General features: G+C 38.9%; 1 long non-coding RNA gene across 1 annotated transcript, besides 1 other annotated feature; it reads right to left on the minus strand.

Annotated features, from left to right (window-relative positions):
- Positions 1–2,654: 2,654 nt before the first annotated feature.
- Positions 2,655–20,808, minus strand: LOC124903724 (uncharacterized). The gene is made up of 2 exons (XR_007065120.1): positions 20,695–20,808; positions 2,655–2,980 (listed from the first exon to the last, which is right to left on the minus strand). It is a non-coding gene; the product is annotated as an uncharacterized LOC124903724 (long non-coding RNA).
- Positions 14,282–14,451: an enhancer, noted in NCBI's record as "experimental_44883 CRE fragment used in MPRA reporter constructs". NCBI's record gives its function as "activates a minimal promoter by MPRAs in K562 erythroleukemia cells, with activity observed for both the introgressed and non-introgressed 16:77053593 variant alleles {active_cell/tissue: K562}" and the evidence as "EXISTENCE:reporter gene assay evidence [ECO:0000049][PMID:34662402]".
- Positions 20,809–22,376: the final 1,568 nt, after the last annotated feature.

Here is a 22,376-nt window from a genome sequence, read left to right on the forward strand (position 1 = left end):
TTTGTGATGAATGTGTTGTAATCACTGAATTACTGTTAAATACAAATGCTTGGGCTTGCATTGAGAAACTCCACATACATTGGCTTCTTCTCTGAGTTTACAAATTCTAATTTCAATTTTTACCTTTACTACTAATACTTTTAAAATATCCTTAAAATATACTCAACACCCTAAGGCATCATATAGTGCCCCCTTTCCTGTACAATGAAAAGAACATACATGTAATCTATCTTTTCAATTCTCCCATAATCTTGATCATTAGAAGATAATAATTTTAACTAAAAAAGTATATATTAAAAAGTCCAGTTGTTTCATTCTGTTTAATGAATCTATCAATACAGCAAATTATTGGCTCCTTTTAAGATATTTCTAAGATAAATCACCTACCATGAAAGTAAATGAAAATCCACAGTTCTTCATTGAAAGTTTATGAAGCTTGGGGGCCAAGTTAGGACACTGAATCTGCTAACTTGTAGTTCACTCGTTGCCACAGAAAATATTTTTAAAAACAATGTGTAAATGTAACAATAACGTATTTCGTCGTATTAGCAGTATTAAGACTTACCAATTTACTGACTACTCCATATTCTGTAGCACAAACCCAAATCACTCTCTAGAGATTCCAAACCAACTTGGCTACAGGCACCCACAATGCAGACTCAGTACAATAGCATGCTCTCGTAGCCTGCAAGTCTTTCCCGCTCTTCCTGTTTTCTGCCTTGGTGTAGGATACCTCCATCCACTAGAATGGCCAACCCAGAAATCTGGGAGTCGCAGTGGTCTCTTCCCTCTGCCCTGTCATAGATGATCAATCATGATGCCCTCAAAATTTGGCCTTGTAAAAGATCTTGAGATCTGTTCAGTTGTATGCCAGAAAAACCTTGCTCTGTGAATAACTGTTTCTCACGTCACTTGGAAAATGACCTGAAGCATTAGAAGAAATGTTGACAAGTCTAAATTTTGGGGAGCAACAAATCTAGTGAGCTCAGGAACAGGACCAAGAAGTCTCTTCCACATAGAATCTAAGAGACTCAGCCTCATGCTGTAAGTCTAGATGTTGATCTTTGCTTGCCATTCAATGATTTCCAGGGAAACATTAGACAATTTTATTATAAAATGCTTCTTTTCTGCCTAATTGTGCCTTCTGTTCTCATAAAAAATAAACATCTTGACTTAATTAGCTTTTTTAAAAAATGTAAATATTAGTTGACATTTTCTTCCATAGTATATCTCTGCAGGATTCAAAAAATGTCATGACTTTTTATCTTTGAGTTTATTTTTCTCTTCCCCTAACTCCATGAGATTCAACAACTGAAAGGTTACTATAACTTCAAACCCCCACAGTACCCTTATAGTTGCTACTCCACAAAGTATACCCACTACCTTGACGTCTAACATTAAGAATTATGTTTGCGGCTGGGCATGATGGCTCACACCTGTAATCCCAGCACTTTGGGAAGCCAAGCTTGGTGGATCACAAGGTCAGGAGTTCAAGACCAGACTGGCCAAGATGGTGAAACCCCGTCTCTACTGAAAATACAAAAATTAGCCAAGTGTGGTGGCAGGCATCTGTAATCCCAGCTACTCGGGAGGCTGAGGCAGGAAATTGCTTGAACCCGGGCGGTGGAGATTGCAGTGAGCGGAGATCGGGCCACTGCATTCCAGCCTGGGTCATAGAGCGAGACTCTGTCTCAAAAAAAAAAAAAAAAAATAGAATTAGGTTTGCCTGTTTTGGGACTTGATATAAAGGAGAACATACAATTATGTACTCTTTTTTATCTGACTTCTCTCACTCATCATAATGTATGTGAAGTTGATCAGCATTGTGTTGTAGAAATGCTTTGTTCTTTTTCATTATTGTATGATGTTCCATTAAATAAATTTACCACAATTTATCCCTTGTAGTGTTGATACACATTTGAGTTGTTTTCAGTTTGGGGCTATCAGAAATAATGCTTCTAAGAACATTTGTATCCATGTCTTTTGGTGAAGAGATATATACACACCTGAAGAAAAAGGGCTGGACTGTAGGATATGCAATTATTTAACTTTAAGGGCTATTGACAGTTTTCAAAGAGATTATACTGATTGACATTCCTCTCAGCAGTGTATGAGAATTCCAGTTGCTCCATTTCCTTACCAACATTTGAATGTTTTTAGTATGATTTTTATTAGTATGATTTTTATTTTAGCCATTCTGGTAGGCATATAGATTATATAATGTTATGCTTTTATTATTTTTATATTTATTGTTTTATCAATGAATAAAAGACATTGAACATATTTTCACATTTATTGATCATTTGAATGTCTTTTTATAAAGGGTCTGTGCACTTTTAAAGATTCTTCTTTTTTTTACTGTTTTGTAGGAATTCTTTACACAGTTTAGGTATAGGTCCTTTGGCAGATAAATGCATTGCAAATGACTTCTTCCACGCTGTATTTTGCCTTTTCATTTTCTCAATGATGTTTACTGGTGGACAGAACTTCTTAATGTAGTTCAGTTTATCAACTTTTTCATTTAAAGCTAGTGCTTTTTGTGTCCAATTATAGAAAATTTTTGCCTACCCCAAGGTCATGAAAATATTTTCCTATGCTTTCTTCTATAAGCTTTATTGTGATATCTTTCAAAAAGGCCACATGTTAGCTGTAGGTTTAGTTGTGAGGAAGACATTTTAATAATAACAAGCACTAATACATGCTAGAACTTTAATCATTATATGAAAAGTCATGAAGCAGAGACAAAGGCAAATATTCTTTCTCTTGCTTTACTTTCTTGCAAAAATAAGAAGAAAAGCAGCCTAGGAAAAAGAAAAATTTTTAAAAAGCTTCACCTTGAAGGTATTCAAGTGGTGTGTTTCCGAAGTCCTTGTCGATGTTTCTACCCCGTGGAAAACCTCTGGAGATCTCCATGTATTGATTCTCTGGGGGCTCAGACATCTTCCTCTTGGGGGTGCTGATGGATGTTTCTGGGAAGCTTCTAATCAATTAAGTGCCAAAGGTGAAAAAAAGATAAGGCCATTAATGACTATGATATCAAGGTCTATGCTGGAGAAAAAATACCCTAAGTGAGCAATAAGATTTTCTAGAAATTTCTGAGACATTCAGACTTCTTTAAAGAGTACAAAGACTTTTAAAGGTGAACCAGTTACAATATAATCAGAGCATCCTGGTGCCCCTGCTTTTTTTTTTTTTTTTTTTTGCAACATTGATATTTTAAACAAAGAAAAAATACAAGACCCTGTGAGTTACTTGGGTTACTGAAAAGCAGACAATGAAATAAACTATGGAGAATTTTTTTTTTTTGAGACCGAGTTTTACTCTTGTTGCCCAGGCTGGAGTGCAATGGCACCATCTTGGCTCACCACAACCTCCCTTACTGGGTTCAAGCAATTCTCCTGCCTCAGCCTCCCTAGCAGCTGGGATGACAGGCATGCACCACCATGCCCAGCTAATTTTGTATTTTTGGTACAGATGGGGTTTCTCAACTATGGAGAATTTCACAACTGAGAGCAGGAAAAACTGTGGGAAGAGTCCTTGGCATGTCAGAATTCCTATAGAACTTCATTCAGCAATATGCTGAGGGTTTTTTTTTTCTTACAAATGTGGTTTGCCATGATTTTGCAGTTGGTTCCTTTCAGATAAGAATGATCCTTAGAATTCTCTTTCTTGCTATCCCATTTCAAAAAATGTTTATTTCCATGCTCTGAAAATTGGTAATGTGGCTAAATTCCTCATCTTTTTGTGTTTGTAAGAAATGGAATTAGACTATTATAAAGTGGGAAGGGGAATTATTTGCCAGCAGTAACATGAGTAAATTTAGTCAACTTTTGATTGATGACAGTGTCTTGCCTGGTGAAGAGGGAAAGAGAGAAATTCACATAGCTGGACCCTGACATGCACTGCAGGTGCCCAACTACATAATGCCAGCTAATCATAGGTGGTGAGGGAAAATAACTGTTGTCAGACAGTCCTAATAAAGACACTAAATCAAACATATTTTAGTATCAAGGTGATGATGATGAAAGGGAAAGAGTCTCCCAGATATGTGGAAAGTGATTAGTTATACAATAAAGGTAAAACTATGCCTGATAAACCATCAGACATAAGTTCTCTAAAACCTGCAGCACTAACAGGAGGGGAAAAATAGGCTAAGTAAATCATCAAAACATAAACAGACCGTCATTTTATGGTTCTTTAGTCTGCAGGCTTTCAACTTCTCTGTTAAACATTTTGCTCAGCTGGAAAAAACTCAGTAGCAAGACCAGCCATGGTCCTCATTCCTACCGGTGATGTTATCTCAAGAATGCACTACACCAAGCGCATTGGAGCCTGCCCAGCTCTGCACCGTGCCTGATAGCAGCCATCAAAGGGGCAGTCCTCAAATGCCACCATCACAGGACAATCCCCACCTGTTTGCTTTGTCCTTCCCTATGCCTCTTTAAAATTCGCACAATAGTGGTTCATGCTCCGAGGATTGTTATCTGAGTGAAGGCAGGCTGCCTGAATTTGAAACTGAGTGTCTTGAATAAAAACCTTGTGGTTTTGTTATGAATAAAAAGCTTGTGGTACTAACTTGAAGCAGAGAGAAGAACCCAGAAGCCAAGGCAAGATGGTCTGTATGGTTTTGAGCCTCTATATCAATGTTAAACATATTCTGTAGAGGTGCCCTTTGGTAAGGCATGACTCTAAAGAAATAATTCTGACTTCCAAAGGCAAGGTTAAAGTGGCCTTTAGTTTTCAGATTTTCAGAATTCCAGAGACAAATTATGATTATAAAACTGTTAGAATAATACATGTAAAGACAGAAGAGTTTCATGTTGTTAGTATATGTATTCGCATGTTTGGGACACTGTCTCTTCCTCTCACAATAAGTTGAACCACTTAACAATGGCAAGTTCTCTATAAATATGTCTTACTTCCCTAATGAACCTAGTTAATTACCATAATTCAGAACAAATCTCTATTCTTCTTTCTCCATGATCCAGAAGCAATCTTCAAATGTCTCTTTCCTCCCTTGACTACCACCCTTAGGAAACTGTCCCCCACCTCCAATTCCGGTTTAGAGGTGCCTTCTCTCAGCTCACAGGACCCCCAAGGGCTCTAGCACTGAACCTCCTGCACTGTCGTTAGAGGTTTGTCTCCCCCACTGAATTTCACAAAGCCTGGAAGGGTGCCCCCCTGGATTTTGTTTTAATCTTCAGTACCTACTATCACATGACTTATTTACCAATAGCCAGGTGTGGTGGCGGGCGCCTATAGTCCCAGCTACTTGGGAGGCTGAGGCAGGAAAATGGCGTGAACCCAGGAGGCGGAGCTTGTAGTTAGCCTTGATGGCGCCACTCCAGCCTGTGCAACAGAGCGAGACTCCGTCTCAAAAAAAAATAGAAATGTCACCAAAATTTTGCTCTAACTGGTGTAAGGGTTAATTTTGTGTGTCAGCTTGGCTAGGCTATGGTGCACTGTTGTTTGTTCAATCACTAGTGTAGATACGGTGCTGAAGGTATTTTTTAGATGTAATTAATATTTAAATCAGTAGGTTTTGAGTAAAGCAGATTACTCTCCATAAAGTGGGTGGGATTTGTCCAGTCAGTTGAAGGTCTGAAGTGCAAATACTGAGGTTTCCTGAAGAAGAAGGAATCTTCCTTAGGGCTGCAACGTAGAAACCCTACCTGAGTTTCCAGCCCGCAGGGTTACAGATTTCAAACTTGCCAGCTCCTACAATCACATGGCCCAATTCCTTAAAAATCTTTCTCTCTCAATATATATGCAATATATAATAAAATATATAATAGATGCTTTATATGTTATACAATATAATATGTATCCTATAGGAAATATAATTTAATATACAATACATATTATACTATGTATCACATAGGTATACCAATATACCTATAAGTTCTATTTATCTGGAGAACCCTGACTAATAAATACAGCTAGTAATTCACCATTTCAGATTCAGGCTTGACCCCTTTTCCAATAACCAGACATATGTATCCCACCACATACATCTGATGCCTCATAACACCTCAAACTGAAAACATCCCAAACGGAACTCCTGTCCTCCCTCCTCCAAGACTTCCCATGTCAGGAACAACATTGCTACATCTCCAGTCATGCCACCCTGAAATGGGGGAGCTCTCTGATACATTCGCCCATTTATCCCCGTGTCTGACCCACTCTGAGTCTGCCATTTTGCCTCCTAAATACTTCTTGAATCCATTTGGTTTTCTTCACGGTCATCAAAACTTTCCTGATCGAAACTATTGTCAGCTCTTGTGATCTCCTGGAGTGGCCTACCTCATCTATACTTTCTTCCTCCAATCAGTTCTCCATGCCCAGCCAGAGTGAGCTTTTCCTGAATGGTGGCCTAAGCAAGCCAAGCTCATGCTTGTCTTAGAACAAAGACAAAATGGGCCGGGCATGGTGGCTCATGCCTGTAATCCCAGCACTTTGGGAGGCAAAGAGGGCAGATCGCTTGAGGTCAGAAGTTTGAAACCAGCCTGGCCAACGTGGTAGAACCCCATCTCTACTAAGACCACAAAAATTAGCTCGGTGTGGTGGCTCATACCCGTATTCCCAGCACTTTGGGAGACTGAAGCGGGTGGATCACTTGAGGTCAGGAGGTCAAGAATAGCCTGTCCAACATGGTGAAACCCCATGTTTCTAAAACTATTAAAAATACAAAACTAGCCAGGCATGGTGACAGGCACCTCTAATCCCAGCTACTCGGGAGGCTGAGGCATGAGAAACGCTTGAACCTGGGAAACAGAGGCTGCAGTGAGCCAAGATCATGCCGTGGCACTCCAGCCTGGGAGAAAGAGTAAGACTCTACCTCAAAAAACAAAACAAAACAAAAAAACAAAAACGGACAAAAATCAAATGATCATCATGGTCTTTTTGGACAGACAGACTGGCATGGTCTGTCTCCTGTCCACCTTCACAAACCTCGACTTGACCTATGTTCTCCTCCCTCCCTGTCACATTCTGTTACTCCTTGGACACACTGTATACCCTTGGCCACCAGTACATCAGTTTTTTTTGTTATAAAACCTAACAACTCCCTTTCCTCACCCTCCGCCTTATTAGTAGATTCTGTCTTGAATAGCACATCCTCAGATCCTTCTGCTATGTTCCCCATGTCCCTTTTCTTCATAGCACTTATCAGATCTGTAATTTTAAAGTCATTCATTAAATTATTTAATCATTATATTTCTCCTTCTTCCCATTGCATTGTAAACCCGCAAAGGCAAGGGTAGGATATGCTTTTCCTTAGCATTGTAGCCTTAGGATACAATGATATTAGTAAGACTGGGGTTATCACTCCTCTTTGGTAGATTTTCTTAGAAAAGCTCAGAATGGCTAAATTTAGTAGCCATGGCAGAACTTGGATATGAGTACTGGCCTCTTCTTTCTAAATGACAGTGTTGCGGCTTTTTCATCCCTGTTGTTTGGTGAGTGAGTGGGAGTGTTATAGCTGTATTACTCCCACGGCCAGCCAGCGAGCTCTGGGTCCTTGTTCCATGACCAAGAAGAATAAGGCACGCGGACTCTGGAGAGTGAGTACAACAGACTTGGATTTATTATGCAACAGAAAATCTCTAAGCATGGAGAGGGGACCCGAAAGAGGGTTACCAGCTCTGGGGCAAAGTTTTGGGTTTTTATGGACTGGGAAGTGGGAAGAGTGTGCTGACTGGTCTGCAGGTGGTCTTGGAGAAAGCACCACTTAGAAAGAGATATTACAGTGAAAAGAACCAACTGGGGGCTGAAATGAAGGTTTGGCCCAGAACCAATCAGGGGCTGAAGTGATGATGCACCCTATGTAATGAAGATTCAGCTCACAGCTAAACATAGAAAGGTAGGCATATGTAAAATAAGTGAGAAGTAAGAGATAAAGGCATGTACCAAGTAGAGAGAAATGTGTCCAAAAAAGGAGTGGCATTTGTTCATCTGGGTTTACAGAATAGGTGTTTCCATTCAAAGACATGGGCTTGCTCTTATCTGGGTTACCAAAGACCCACCCTAACTCCCTGCCTGACTGGTTTCTTCCTTCCTCCTCTCTCAAAAGGGTGTTCACTCTCTTGTGCTTTCCTGCTTTCCCATTTTTATATGTGATGTAGCAGTTATCACTTTCAAAAACACCACACTTACTCTTATGTCAGATCCAACAGTTGTTCATCTTGCCTGTGGATAATCTTTAATCAATCGAAGAAACATATTAAATCCAACCATTCATATACATACCCCAACTCAACTTTTTCCAAGTACCCAAAACAATGTTTCTCCATAAGTACTTCATAATGCATGTAAAGCTCTTTTCCTCTGATACCGTTCTACGAGAAGAGGCTGCAGAGTACAGTCACTGATATATAGGTATTTTTTTTAATCTAGTTGGTTTTCCTATTCTTTAGCTTCAATTCCAAATAAGTTACAAGATAAAGATTTAAAACTCTAAATAAATACTCAGATTCACTTTTGTGTCTTCGGACTGTTTGATCACAAGGGAACAGGACACTGCCTTTGGAAAAAAAGTGAATAACCTCATAAAATGCAGCAGCTCAGAAGGCAGCCTGGACTGGTGAGCTCAGCTTCTGCTTACTCTGGGATAGTTTTACAGTGCCAGATGGAGCCGGCCTGTTTGTTCATCCCCACAGGCCCACACTTGAAGTTACTAGAGAAGAATTAATTACTATATTTTTGTGGTTGTTGTCCATTTAGAACAACTATTTCTGTTGGTTTCATAAAACCAGGACAACATGACATCCTCATTGGTGAGATAAGGGTCATTTATCAATGTTGGGAATGGGCTTTTTAACTCCAGCTCTTATCCCTGAATGGCCCTTGTGTCAATTCATGATTTGGGCCATCTGTCTTCCTGACCACATAAGAGTAGAACCCCCCCAAGCTCTATTTCCATACATCCCTAAAGCTCCATTTCAGTAGTCTTCTTCATTCATGTTGTTGCTCACTACCTTCAAAATAGTCTCCAATTTTTCAGTTTTGTGCCTTTCCCTAGCACAAGTAACCTCTGTTTGTAGCCATTTTTCTATTCCCTGGAAGGTTCCTTGCTCTTCTGCTACCAAGATGATGCAAAATATTATTCTACATATATTTGAGTTACTCAGCCAGAGCAGTATCTAATACTCATCCAAAATAATTTCTTGACTAAGTGCAAAATTTTAAAGCCCCAAACATTAAAATAGATTTGCTAAAAATTTTATGAACCTAAAAACATCCTCATTCCCACCAGTCAGATGAGTCCTTTGTTCTCAGCCAGGCCATGATTCATCTAACTGAAAGGAAATCAGGGGCACAGGATGTTCAAGCCTCAAACCTTCAGGCTCTATTCTACTTCTTATCCGTTCAGTGACCCATCAAGCAAATTAACACAGCCGTATTTTTAAAGCATGCTCCAACAATAATTACTTTAAAACATGAGAGGTGTCTTATATAGGTACTATGAGGAAGACCAGGTCATATGTGGACTGTCTCCTTGGCCATGGACAAGGCAAGGGTGAGAATCACAAATCAAAAACCACAAGTTTCACAAAGAAACATCAGAGTAAATAAATCTAGGGCATGGCGGTACAGGATGGGTGGGTTCCAGTGCAGCATGCATGGACCAGTCACTGAACCCAAGTCTGTTTCTGTTTTTATTTTTTTTTTTAAGAACCGTGCTGAGTCATTGGTATGGTCTTAACGTTTGTGTCCCCCCAAAATTCATATTTTGAAACTAAATTCCCTGTGCAATACTATTAAGAGGTGGAGTGTTTAGGAGGCAATTAGGATGTGAGGGCTCTGCTCTCATGAATGAGATTAATGCCTTTATACAGAGGCCCTCGTGACCCCTTCTACCATGTAAAGACAAAGTAAGAATGTACCATCTATGAAGCAGAGAGCAAGCTCCTAAAAGACATGGAATCTACTGGCACCTTGATTTTTGAAATCTCCAGTTTTCAGAACTGTGAGCAATAAAATTCTGTTGCTTATAGATAACTCAGCCTAAAGTATTTTGTTATAGCAGCCCGAACAGAATAAGATACCCATTGAGTCTATTAGACTGCCTCGAAGTAGTATAACTGAGTTCATATATTTTATCATCTCCCTCTTTTTCTGTTGATTCTGCTCAGTTTTCCAAGAGAGGGTAGCTCTGTTTTCTCCTCCTGGTGCCTGATTACTTGGTTCTATTTCTCGCCATTTATGTAACTTTAGGAAAATTAATGAATTGCACTAAGCTTCTTTCTGAGAAGTGGAGATTACAACTTGCTCATGAGATGGTTCCTAGAATTAAATGAGTTTATATGTGAAAAACACTCAACACAAGTAGTGAAGTGAGCACCAACAAATGATTCCTATTATTTTGATACTGTAATTATTAGCACCTATTATTATCCAAATGTACAAATATGTTAGACAGGGAAGAGGAGAAGAAAATGAGGAGAAGGAAAAATGGAGGAATCTAAGGGGAGAAGGAGAAAGACCAAGGAAGAAACACTAACCAGGGAAGGAAGCAGAGAGAGATTCAAAAAGAGAGAAAGAAAGGAACACTTTGGAGTGGTGTTCTCATTGATACCTCACTCTTACCAAAATTCCTCCAATTCTCCTCATTGTTCTCATTGATACCTCATTCTTATCAAAATTCCTCCAATTCTCCTCATTGTTCTTATTTGATACTTCATTCTTATCAAAATTTCTCCAATTCTGGCCCAGGCCACCAGCACCAGAATTTTCTGGACAAAAGAGTCCACTCATTTTAAAGATGCAGATTCCTGAGTGCACTCCAGACTTGGCCAAAAATCACTGGGTATTGAAAGCAGGGGATCTACATGTTCACCACACCCACTAGTCAAAACGTATGTCCAGGCAAGTCTGAAATATACCACAAAACTCTGTGCCATGATTCTTTTCAGAAGGTGCAGAGAGTAGATGGAAATCGAAATATCCCTGCAAGTTTCCACACTCCCGCTTCCAAAGGCAAATAACTACTCCATGTCCTAGACAAATGGGTAACCCACAATTTGTTCTGATATCTGATTGAAACCCCAAATCCTGGACTTTTGACTTTGATAAAGATGACACTCTAGGGGGAGAAATAGAGAAGCCATTAACTGGAGGACATTAAGGCCATGGTAACATCTCTGCTTCATATATGCAGCGGCAGTGCCCTTGTGAAGGAGCTGGGCCAAGAAGAAATAATTAAAAGGATTAGGTTGAGAAGGAAGACAAAGAGGCTAAGACATTTTTCAGAGGAACTGTGAGTTTCTTTGCGTGGAAAGGCATACTTACAGCCAAAATGAAATACACTGTTAATTGACTTAAAAGAAATAATCAAACCTTGCAGTTTAGTTTTAAAGGAAAAAGGCTCTATAAATTTGGTGAAATTGTTTTATACCAAATCAGTTTTAAATAACTTTTAAATATAATCTCTTCACTCCCATAAGAATATTCACTTACTGTTTTATCTTAATGTAAATTCTATGCAATCTGGTTTTATACACACACCCCCACACACACAGAGTACAGTTTGTTTTTTTTTTAATACAGTGGTGAGTTTAAAATAGTCATGGTTTTAAAGGTAAGATAAAATATGCAATCACAAAAAAAAATTTGGTTGTTTTTACCAAATCAAATGGAAATATCATGTCTTATTAAACCAAAAATGAGCATCCTTCACACTACAGCAATATCAACAGTACTCCGTCAGGAAAATTTCCAAGCTCACTTTATCACTCAAAACTGATCAGACATCAGTTCTCCTAACTGCTTTTTTTTCTCTGGCTTGTCCTTTACTTTACTTTCAACTTGGTAATTATCATCTTTGAAACAATGAAGTCTAAAAAGACAGTCAAATCTATTGAGAGGTTCCTTTATGGTTTTCATCTTTAGCAACATTCTTAGAAAGGTCTTTCCCACCCCTCAAATGCAGAGCCAATGCTCTTCAATTTCAGAATCTTCTAGTTCTGCTTTCTTTCCTTTATTTCATGCTGCATTCCACAAAAGCTCCCTTTGAGACAGTTTTTCATTCCATACGAATCTAGAAACACGGCTGCTTTGGAGAATATTGCTAACTCCATGTCTGCCTCTGCTTTTTTAGCAGGTCTTGGAAGGGTAGTCATGTTACAGCAAATAGATAGTCACCCTGTCATTCAGCAGGTGCTTATGGAGCAGCTACTCTCTAGAAAACACTGAGGCAGGAGAAAGGGGGCAGGGAAGGAAAAACAGACTCAGTCTCTATACTTTGGATGCAAAAGTTACAAATAAGAAGTAAAACAAATAGGCATGATATATTTTAATACATCTTTTGTGGATTGAATTGTGTCCTCCCAAAAGATACATCTAAATCTTAACCCTAGTACCTGTGAGTGTAATCTTATTTGAAAATAGGGTCTTTGCAGATGTAATCAGGTTGAAATTAGGTCATATTGGATAAGGGGGTGGGGGGTTCCAAAATCCAATGACCGCTGTCTTTATAAGAGAAAGGAGAGAGAGATTTGGACACAGGGTTACAAAGGAGACACACAGAGAGAAGATGACCATGGGAAGATAGAGGCAGAGTTGGAGTGATACTGCCACAAGCCAGGGAATGCCAGGAGCCATGAGAAGCCGTAAATGGCAAGGGGGATTCTCCCCTAGAGCCTTCAGAGGGAGCATGGCCCTGCAGATACCTTGATTTCAAACTTCTGGCCTTCAGAACTGTGAGAGAACAGATTTCTGTTGTTTCGAGCCACCAAGTTTGTGTTACTTGGCTATGGCAGCCCCAAGAAACCCATATGGCCTTCCTTGCTCTCCTTTGACAATCTGCCAGGTATTTTAAATTTTTCTAAGGATGTATTTGAATGCTCCAGGCTGAGCCACTAAGAATTGAGGACTTTCATATCAAGATGGCAAGGCATATTTATACTGTATAACCCTCACTGCTCTAGACTCTTAAAGAAAGATTGAACATAAAAATGGAAAGTCACGAAAAGACATAGGTAATCTAAAATACGAAATAGTTGGCTGTCTGAATTACAAATGGAACAAAACTCCAAAATGATGACAGGTATTAAGACCCCAGCTTGCTGGTCTCCAGTGGTGGCTTCTGACCTCCAGAACAATGAGATAATAAATTTGTGTTGTGTGCACCACGATGTTTGTGGTATTTGTTACAACAGCATTTGGTTAGGAATATATCCAGCACTTAAGCAAAGGAGGCATAACACAACTGCCCTTGAACTCCAACTGGGACTGGGGTTCATGGTGCCAAGGAGGCAGAGACACAGGACATAGGTACAATCTGAGCACAGCTGCTTCCAGGCTCTGAAGATGAATTTGCCATGAGCCCCACAGCTTCTGAAGCAGTAACTCCCCATGGCTACCAGCATACCCAGACTTAGAAAGGCAGCCTGGAAGGGCCCAGATAGGTCAACTGCAAAATCCACGGACACAGAGTGAAAGGCACAGAAGAGAGAAAGAGAGAGAAAATTGCCAAAACATAAAAGAAATACCTACACAAAATATACATCCAAACCCAAATTCTAAAACCACATGAAGACATTTAATGCTAAGAAGAGAGCCTACACATCCAGTACTCTAAATAGGAATTCCCTCCTGGTGACATTCACATTTTTAGAACTGTCGGACAAAAACTTTAAAATGAGTATATTGAAATAGCTCAAAGTGCTTAAAGAAGTAGCTCAAAGTGCTGAAAGCTTTTTCTAAAGGATACTAAAGCACAACCAATCAAGAATAAGATAACATAGTTATTATGAAATATGCTATATATATAAGATTAAACTCAAGTAGGGTCAAAGTTCAAAAGTAACTCTCAAGAAGGAACCTCGTGTGAAACAGCAGTGTGGCACAGAAAGATAAAAATTCTTAGCATAAATCAATCCCTACGATGAATATGTATGCATGTTTGCATGTGTGTATTCTCTAGTTTTAATTCTGCAGGAGCAAATAGGGTCTGAGATTGGTTTTCCTGATAACAAACATCTTCCTTACATCAGAATATGTTGTTTACTCCAGAGAAGACTTTGGATGTGGAAAGTCATGACAGATTCTAAATTTGAAGTTCCAATCCTAACATATGACAAAGGAAAGCCTGGAATTTTGAAAGTTAGAAGACAAGAAAAGGCTCCTGTTTCCCTGCCTTCTGCCGTTTATCCCTTCCGTGAACCAGTGAGCCTGTAGTATCCTGACGATGACCAAAAGGGAAGTATGAGAGGGTCACAAGTGAAGAAACAAAAGACCAAAATTGATAGAGAACCCAAAGGTTAAAAAAAAAAAATAGCATGCTGAAAATAGTATCCGGCCACACTAGCAGTATGAATAGAGAGAATCATTCATTTAAAAGATTTATTTTTTTTTCTAGACAGCCAATTATGTCATGGCTTCTCTGGAGAACCCAATAAACAAATTATCTTGAAGAGAATTTCACCTGTTGGGTTCTGCAGCTTAATAAGGCTGCAGTGCCATCAGCACAGAGTCCTAACGCGCCTCACAGGAGAATGTCTTGGACACACTCCTATAAATTAATTTTCTAATTCTGGCTCTGCCACCAGCTAATTTGGTTTCTCTGGATTAATGATGCCACACCTAAAAATGCTGGGATTAGACTAGATGTTCCCTGGCATCTCTTACATCTCTCACATTTTTTAGTTCTCTAATTTTTATTCTGTTTCAAAATGAAATTAAAATATTCTACGTCCACAAAGTCATCTTATGTGTGATTTATAACAGTGTGCATTGGGGAAAAAAAAGGCTATAGCAGAATTCTCAGAATAAGTTGCAGTTAAAATAAGGCATTATTAATGTCCTTAGTACACCATACAATATATCCTCAGACAAGATAAGAAAGTATAAGTTTTCAATTGTTATTAATTACTGCATACTACGCACCTGCAAGAAATGTTCAAAAACTGCAGAAATAGATACTACTTATTATGAGCTACATCAAGGAATAGGAAAGCAAGTTTTAGTTTGGGTAAGTTTTAAATATTTTTCCGTCATTTCTCCTTAATCAATATAAATTGAAAACAGATTCATCTAATCTACTTCAAGAACTTAGTAATGGATTTGGAAGGCCAATTCCAGGTCTCCCAGGCATTGAGCAAAAAATAATGCGTAAATGCTCTTCTGTCAATGAAGCTGAGGTATATAATAAAACTGTGACTCACTAAAAAAACTGAAAGCATCCCCAACTCTAAGTGTATGTGGACTCCAGAGAGCACCTGTCTCTGCGCACATGGAATACAGGAGAAAAATCAGAAAAGTTCTTCATCGTTTCAGGAAAGTGAGAAGCAAAAAATCAGGGATAACTAAGAGCAAAATAGGTTAGTGTTGGTACGCAAACTGTTGTCTTAAAGTTAAATGCAGTGTAATTACTGACTGAATAACGGGCATATGGATTTTCTTACATCTAGTATTAAAATCACACAGCTTTGCATAAAATTCATTAAAATTACATTCATAGCCCAAAATGTTTCTAGTTATTTATTGTTCCATAAAAAATTACTCCTCTCAAAGTGGCTTAAAACAATAATAATAATTTATGTTACTCAAGAATCTGGAATTGACTAGATTTATCTAGAAAGTTCTGGCTCAGTTTCTCTACGTGGCCATAGGTGCAAAGCAGATGGTGGTTGGGGCTGGGTTCTCTTGAAGGCTTATTCACTCACACATCTGGTACCTGGGCTGGGAAGGCTTAGACAGTTGGGGACTAGAATGACTGGGCCCCTATGGGCATCCCTCTCTGTCTTCGAGAGGTCAGTCTGAGTCATCAATCCATATAGCAACCTCAGAGCAGCCTGATTTTAGATGGCGGCTAAAGGCTCCCAGAGTGAGTGTCACGAGATAAACCATTACAGGCAGCACGGCCTTTCCTAACTCAGTCTTAAGAGTCATACAGCATCACTTCTGTCATTCCTTTTGTGGTGGTCATCACAAAAGGCCACCCAAGTTCAAGAGAACAGATTCCCCCTCCTCGTAAAGATGTGGCAAAGCTCTCAAGAGCAAATGGGGGAAAAAAAAAACTGCAGCTGATTATAAAAAAATACAATCTCCTAAAAGCTGGTTGGGATGAGACCCCCAATGATTTTAAGATATCATTTCCAGTTTATTGGGAGAAAACAAAGACTTTGGCATTTTATTAGTTTTCTTTTGCTGCCATGAGGAATTAGCTCAAAAATTTATTTTTTTGCACTTCTACAGTTTATAAGTCCAGTATGCAATATGGTCTCGCCAGGCTAAAATCAAAGTGTCATCAGGGCTGCTCTCTTTTCTGAAAACTCTAAAGGAGACTCAGGGATCCTATTCATTCAGATTTTTGTCAGAACTTAGTTCTTTGTGACTGTAGGACTGAGGTCCCCACTTTGTTGCTCATCGCTAGCTGAGGTCCATTTGTAGATTCTAAGGTCCCCTGAATTCCTTGGCTCATGGCTTCTTCCTCCATCTTCAAAACCAGCAATGGTGAGTGACAATCACTCTCACACCTCATCTCTCCTGCGTTTCTTCCATCGCATTTCCCCAACTGATCCTTGATGGAGAAAATTCTCTGCTTTTCATGGCTCATGTGATTAGATTGAGCCCATCTTGAAAATCCTGAGTAACCTATGTGTCTCGAGCTCTTAACCTGAATCACATGTGTAGAGTTCTTTTTCTCTTGTAAGTTAACATATGCTGTGGATTAGGACTTGAGCATGTCAGGGAGCCATAATTCTGCCTACCAAAGACATAATTTGTTTGATTAAAGAGAGCCCATGACAATGGAATTAAAGAAATTGATATTAAAACTAGATGGTTCTGGGGACTCCATGAAGTGACTCCACATTCATTAAGCACATCTGTTTAAACAAGTGATTTGACTTCCCACACATGGTCAGAAACATAAGATTACAAAGTGCATTGCCCTTAGGTTCATGAGTATTTTCTCAGTGGAAAGACCTTCTCGCTAAAATTTAATTGACTTTATTGTGTATGCAAGTGCAATAAAGGTTACTTGGTTTCCAAGACCAAATAACACAGCAGTTACAAATTAGAAGTGGCAAATACCAATCAACAATGACAAGTGTCATCTGACAACAAAGGAGAAATTTCAAGAAATATATTACACAAAAATGCAGTATCTATCACACATACAAACACAGTTAGTAGTCAAAAGTCATTTGTGGGCAGGCACTGTTATACCAGTGATTATCACTACATGTCATTGAGAAATGACTAAGTTATATTCAAAATATTCTTTTTATGAGTTTATAACATATTATAGAAAAACTTTACATCATTGAGGAAAGACAAACTTAGGGCCAGGCATGGCGGGTCACTCTGTAGTCCCAGCACTTTGGGAGGCCAAGGCAGGTCGATCACATAAGGTCAGAAGTTCAAAACCAGCCTGGCCAGCATGGCAAAACCCCATCTCTACTAACAATACAAAAATTAGCCAAGTGTGGTGGCGGACGCCTGTAATCCCAGCTACTTGGGAGGCTGAGGCAGGAGAATCACGTGAACCCAGGAGGCGGAGGTTGCAGTGAGCCGAGATCACACCATCACACTCTAGTCTGGGTGATAGAACGAGACCCTGTCTCAAAAAAAAAGCCTAACTTGAAGAAAAATAAAAGTGGGTGTATATGCAGTGTAGTGGACATGTTGGCAAATTAGGCTACTCCCTCCATTCCTGCTGGGAAGGAAATTGACCATGAGCACCCCCATTGGGACATTTGTGTTTGCACCATGGGATGTGTGATTAGGCTGAGCAGGTTGTCATGAGTTCTCGGGGCAGACATGTAGGCACTGAGAGAAGATGAAGCAATTCTTCAAGAGAAGCCAAGATTTCAGGCTCAGGCCTGAGTCCTAAATAGCTTTGAAGGTCCAACCCCACTCCCTCCAGAGAACCCCCGGGGAATTTCAGTCCTGGAGTCCCCTAGTGTCCTTCCAGTCATTTTCCTTTATTTATTTATTTTGGCCCAACTCAGTTGCAGTGAATTTCTCTTCCTTGTGACCAAACAATTCATCACTGAGACAAATGGGCAAAATCCCAGTCATTTGAAAAACAATCCAGTTATCAAAAAGGATCAATTCTCTAACAGCTCTAGATGGCTATCAAGTTTTGCAGTTTGTGTGGTTTACTGAAGTGCTTTTTGTTCAATATGTGCATTTCAAGAAACACTCCAAGCTTTGATTAAGAGAATATGGTTTCCCACCTCAATAACTAACTTTTCATAAAACAGATGTCTGTAATTTTATTTTAAATATGACCCAATAGTGGAATTTGATCTGAAGGAGTTGAAATAGAGTGTTTTTAAAATAACCTGTTTATGATTGGTTTTAATATATCTCAACACACACCTTTTTGAAATTGAGAAATTAAATCATCCTAGGAACTACAGATTTCAAAGAAAGCCCCTACCTTTTACTTTAAACCAAAAAAAATCTATATTTTTAGAAAAAAATAAATCATATTAGCATTGTAGATAACAGGATTTATTCCTGGAAAATCTTATTAGTAAGGTTAGAATTTCAGGATTTTGAAGTGCAGTGATTTTTATCAGTTAGTGTCAAGCCAGGAATATGAAGGTCACCTCAGGTAATTCAATAGAGGGAAATTAACATGGAGCACGAGTAATGATCATGTTGGAAGATGTGAACAGGCAAATGAGGAAGAGGGGCAAGCCAGAGATTCACAACAGCAGTTGGGACTGCACTACCTACGGCACAGAGACCTAAAGAGACCAAGAAGGAGGTCAGCGCTGCCAGGTGGGAACTAGAATCATAAAGGAGATATAGCTACAGCTAAAGGTGCCATATGAAGTGAAGAGAAATGGGGATGGATATGATTTGGCCATGTCCCCACCCAAATCTCATCTTGAATTGTAGCTCCCATAATCCCCGCATGTCATGGGAGGGACCTGGTGGGAGGTAATTGAATCATGCATGGGGGCGGGTTTTCCCGTGCTGTTCTCGTGATAGTGAGTAAGTCTCACAAGAGCTGATTGTTTTATAAAGGGCAGTTCCCCTGCACACACTCTCTTGCCTGCCGCCATGTAAGACATGCCTTTGCTCCTCTTTTGCCTTCCACCATGATTGTGAGGCTTCCCCAGCCATGTGGACCTGTGAGTCTGTTAAACCTCTTTTTCTTTATAAATTACCCAGTCTCAGGTATTTCTTCATAGCAGTATGAAAATGGACTAATACAGGGACATAACTTTTTTTTTTCCATTGACTGCCCTTAGTTGATAGCTGGTTGGCAAGGGAGCCTAGGCAAGGTAATTTGCAGGAGTCAAATCTCTGTAAACTGAGCAGATCACAGAAGAGATGGAAAAGGTTCTAAGGACAAACAGGCCACAATGATTGTGCAGATTTTTACACCTTAAAAATCCATTCTAATATGTGGAGTGACAGAGGTAACTGCTTCCAGCACAGAATAGTATTCCAGCTAAAAATCACATAACTACCCCCTATTAAAAGAAAAACTTCAGCCAAACTAAAGTTAAAGGAGTTTAAATGAGGAATGAATGATTCACGAATCAGATAGTCCCAGAATGACAGCAGATTCAGAGACTCCTGGGATGCCTCGTGGTCAGAACAAATTTATAGACAAAGACAGGGAATGACACACAGAAATCAGAAGTGAGGGGCAGAAACAGCTGGATTGGTTACAGGTTGGCATTTGCCTTATTTGAACACACTTTGAACACTCAGCAGTGTATGAGTGGTTGAAGTATGGCTGCTGAGATTGGCCAAGACTTAGCTATTGTTATAGGCACGTACTCCTAAATTAGGTTTTCAATTTTATCTGCCTGTTAAGTTAGGTTATGGTTTGTCCACAAATATTCAAATACAGAAGTACAGAGTCCTTCTCAGGCTATATTTAATTCGCTTTAACTCCCCAAAAGATCATACTATGACATATGAATGCCTACACCACAATACACAACATGATCTGGAAGTCAAAGAAATCAGCAAAGATTGTAACTTTTTGCCCTCTGGCATACAGATACAAAGCCAGGAATATTAACCTGCCCTGTGAGCAAATATTATTGTCATGATTATTATATTATTGTCAATAATCATTATATATATTAAGAATTATAACTGATATCAATGAAAATATGGTATAAGACATTGTGTTTACCTTCCAAAAACCCCTCCACCCACTTTTATTGCTTTGCAGCTTTATGATTTTGGTGGGAATGACCCCAGCCCTATCTAGAAGGTTGAGTAATGATGTGTCTACATTCAGGGAAATTCCATCAATCTTACAAGAGTATTTCAAACATAGCAACCCAGGCATAAGCTAATCAGCATAGGACATTTCATTGGCTATAGAACTTGTGCAGGAATGGTCCATTCAAATTTTATTCAATAATTGTGAAAATAAAATTCCATTTCTCTAAAAGATAAATGAATGAGCAATCATGATTCTTAAATTCCTTCTTGTAATCCTGGCATGGAACTCAGCATGGAAACAGTCTAACATCCTCTTGGTACACAGGGGTCAAAAACAACCAGATCACAGAAAAATGAATATAGAGCCTTGATCAAGTCATGCCTGAATTCCATTACTTTCAAATACTTCAGCTATATAAGTCAATACATCTCCTAGATTATTTAAACCAATTACAGCGTTTTTTGTTCTGGTTTTTGTTGTTTTTATTTATTTGTTTTTATATTAGTAACTACACACAAAATACTAGGGACATTGCTACTTACTGTGCATGGGCTGTCTCACTGATTTCTGCCAAGAGTCCATCCAGGGAAGTAGATTTTATCACTGCCTCCACTTTTATATTCAAGGAAAGTAAGGAATGCAACTTTCCCAAATTCCTACAGTTTGGAGAGAGAGAGTTTGAATTCACGCCATCAGACTTCAGACCTTATACTTTTAACTGTAGCATCACAGATTTCCCATACCTGCTTTGCTGCGCCAAAACATTTCTGTATTTGGTAACTCTACTCTGAGAGAGATTTTTTAAAACAAATTATTTTATAAAGCCCCAAACAGAAAACGGAGGAGCAGGTTAGAGAATGATCAGATGTACACAATCAAACCAAGTTAAACTAAAGATATAGTCAAATGTAGCAACCTTTACCAAAACAACTCATTCAGGGACATTAGGTATACATGAAACATTTTGATCACACAGGTTAAAATGTCAGCTCTTAAGCAATACTTTTTTTAATTTTTTTCTTTTTTTGGAAACAGTCTGACTCTGTCACCCAGGCTGGAGTGCAGTGGAGAATCACTGCTCACTGCAACGTCTGCCTCCTGGGCTTCCAGTAACCCTCCTACCTCAGGCTCCTGAGTAACTGGGACTACAGGCAAGTGCCAGTATGCCCAGCTAAGTTTTTGTGTTTTTAGGAGAGACCTGGGTGCAGCAATCCACCAACCTCAATCTCTCAAAAGTGCTGTGATTACAGGCTTGAGCCACTGTACCCAGACAGCAATATTCTTTTTAAAAGGTAAATAAAAGTGGTATTCACCAGGGATGCCCATTTTGTTTTCAGGACTGGGGGAAGTGTTGATTTTAACTAAAAATAATGTGATTATAAAATTTAGAGTTCTCTAAGAGTGTGATTCCCTTAGCTTATAATGATGGCTTTGAAAACAGATTTTAGGATTATACTTTAAAGTTACTCCTATGTAAAAGTTTTTGAGCAAAAAATACCATACATATTACTTATATATACACACAGGAATATATACACATACTCACATAATTCTATATATGCATACGTAAGTATATATTACATAAAACTCGTGTATTCTATAGAAAATAATTATGTGATCATATATGATGTGTTACATATGAATTATAACGATGCTTGATATGTACATATATATAAAACTTTGTTCTTATCTGCTAGATATATGTGAATTTCATTTTTAAAGCGTTTAAGTTCAGGGGTACAAGTGCATGTTTGTTACCTATGGCACATAGGTAAACTTGTGTTGTGGGGGTTTGTTGTATAGGTAATTTCATCAACCAGGTATTAAACCTAGTACCCATTAGTTATTTTTCTTGACCCCCTCCCTCCTCCCACCCTCCACCCTCTGAAAGGCTCCAGTGTGTGTTGTTGCCTTCTATGTCCATGTGTTCTCATCATTTAGCTCCCACTTATATGTGAGAACATGTGGTATTTGGTTTTCTCTTCCTGTGTCAGTTTGTTAAGGATAATGGCCTCCATCTCCATCCATGTGCCTGTAAAGGACATGATCTTGATCTTTTCTATGGCTGCATAGTATTCCATGGTGTATGTATACTACCTTTTCTTTATCCAGTCTATCATTGTTGGGCATTTAGGTTGAGTCCACGTCTTTGATATATATGAATTCTATTTAATTGTAGTATTCTTTCTCACTATCAAATAAATATAATCTCTACTCACTTAAG

This window comes from Homo sapiens, chromosome 16, assembly GCF_000001405.40.
Source record: "Homo sapiens chromosome 16, GRCh38.p14 Primary Assembly".
Taxonomy (NCBI): Eukaryota; Metazoa; Chordata; class Mammalia; order Primates; family Hominidae; genus Homo; species Homo sapiens.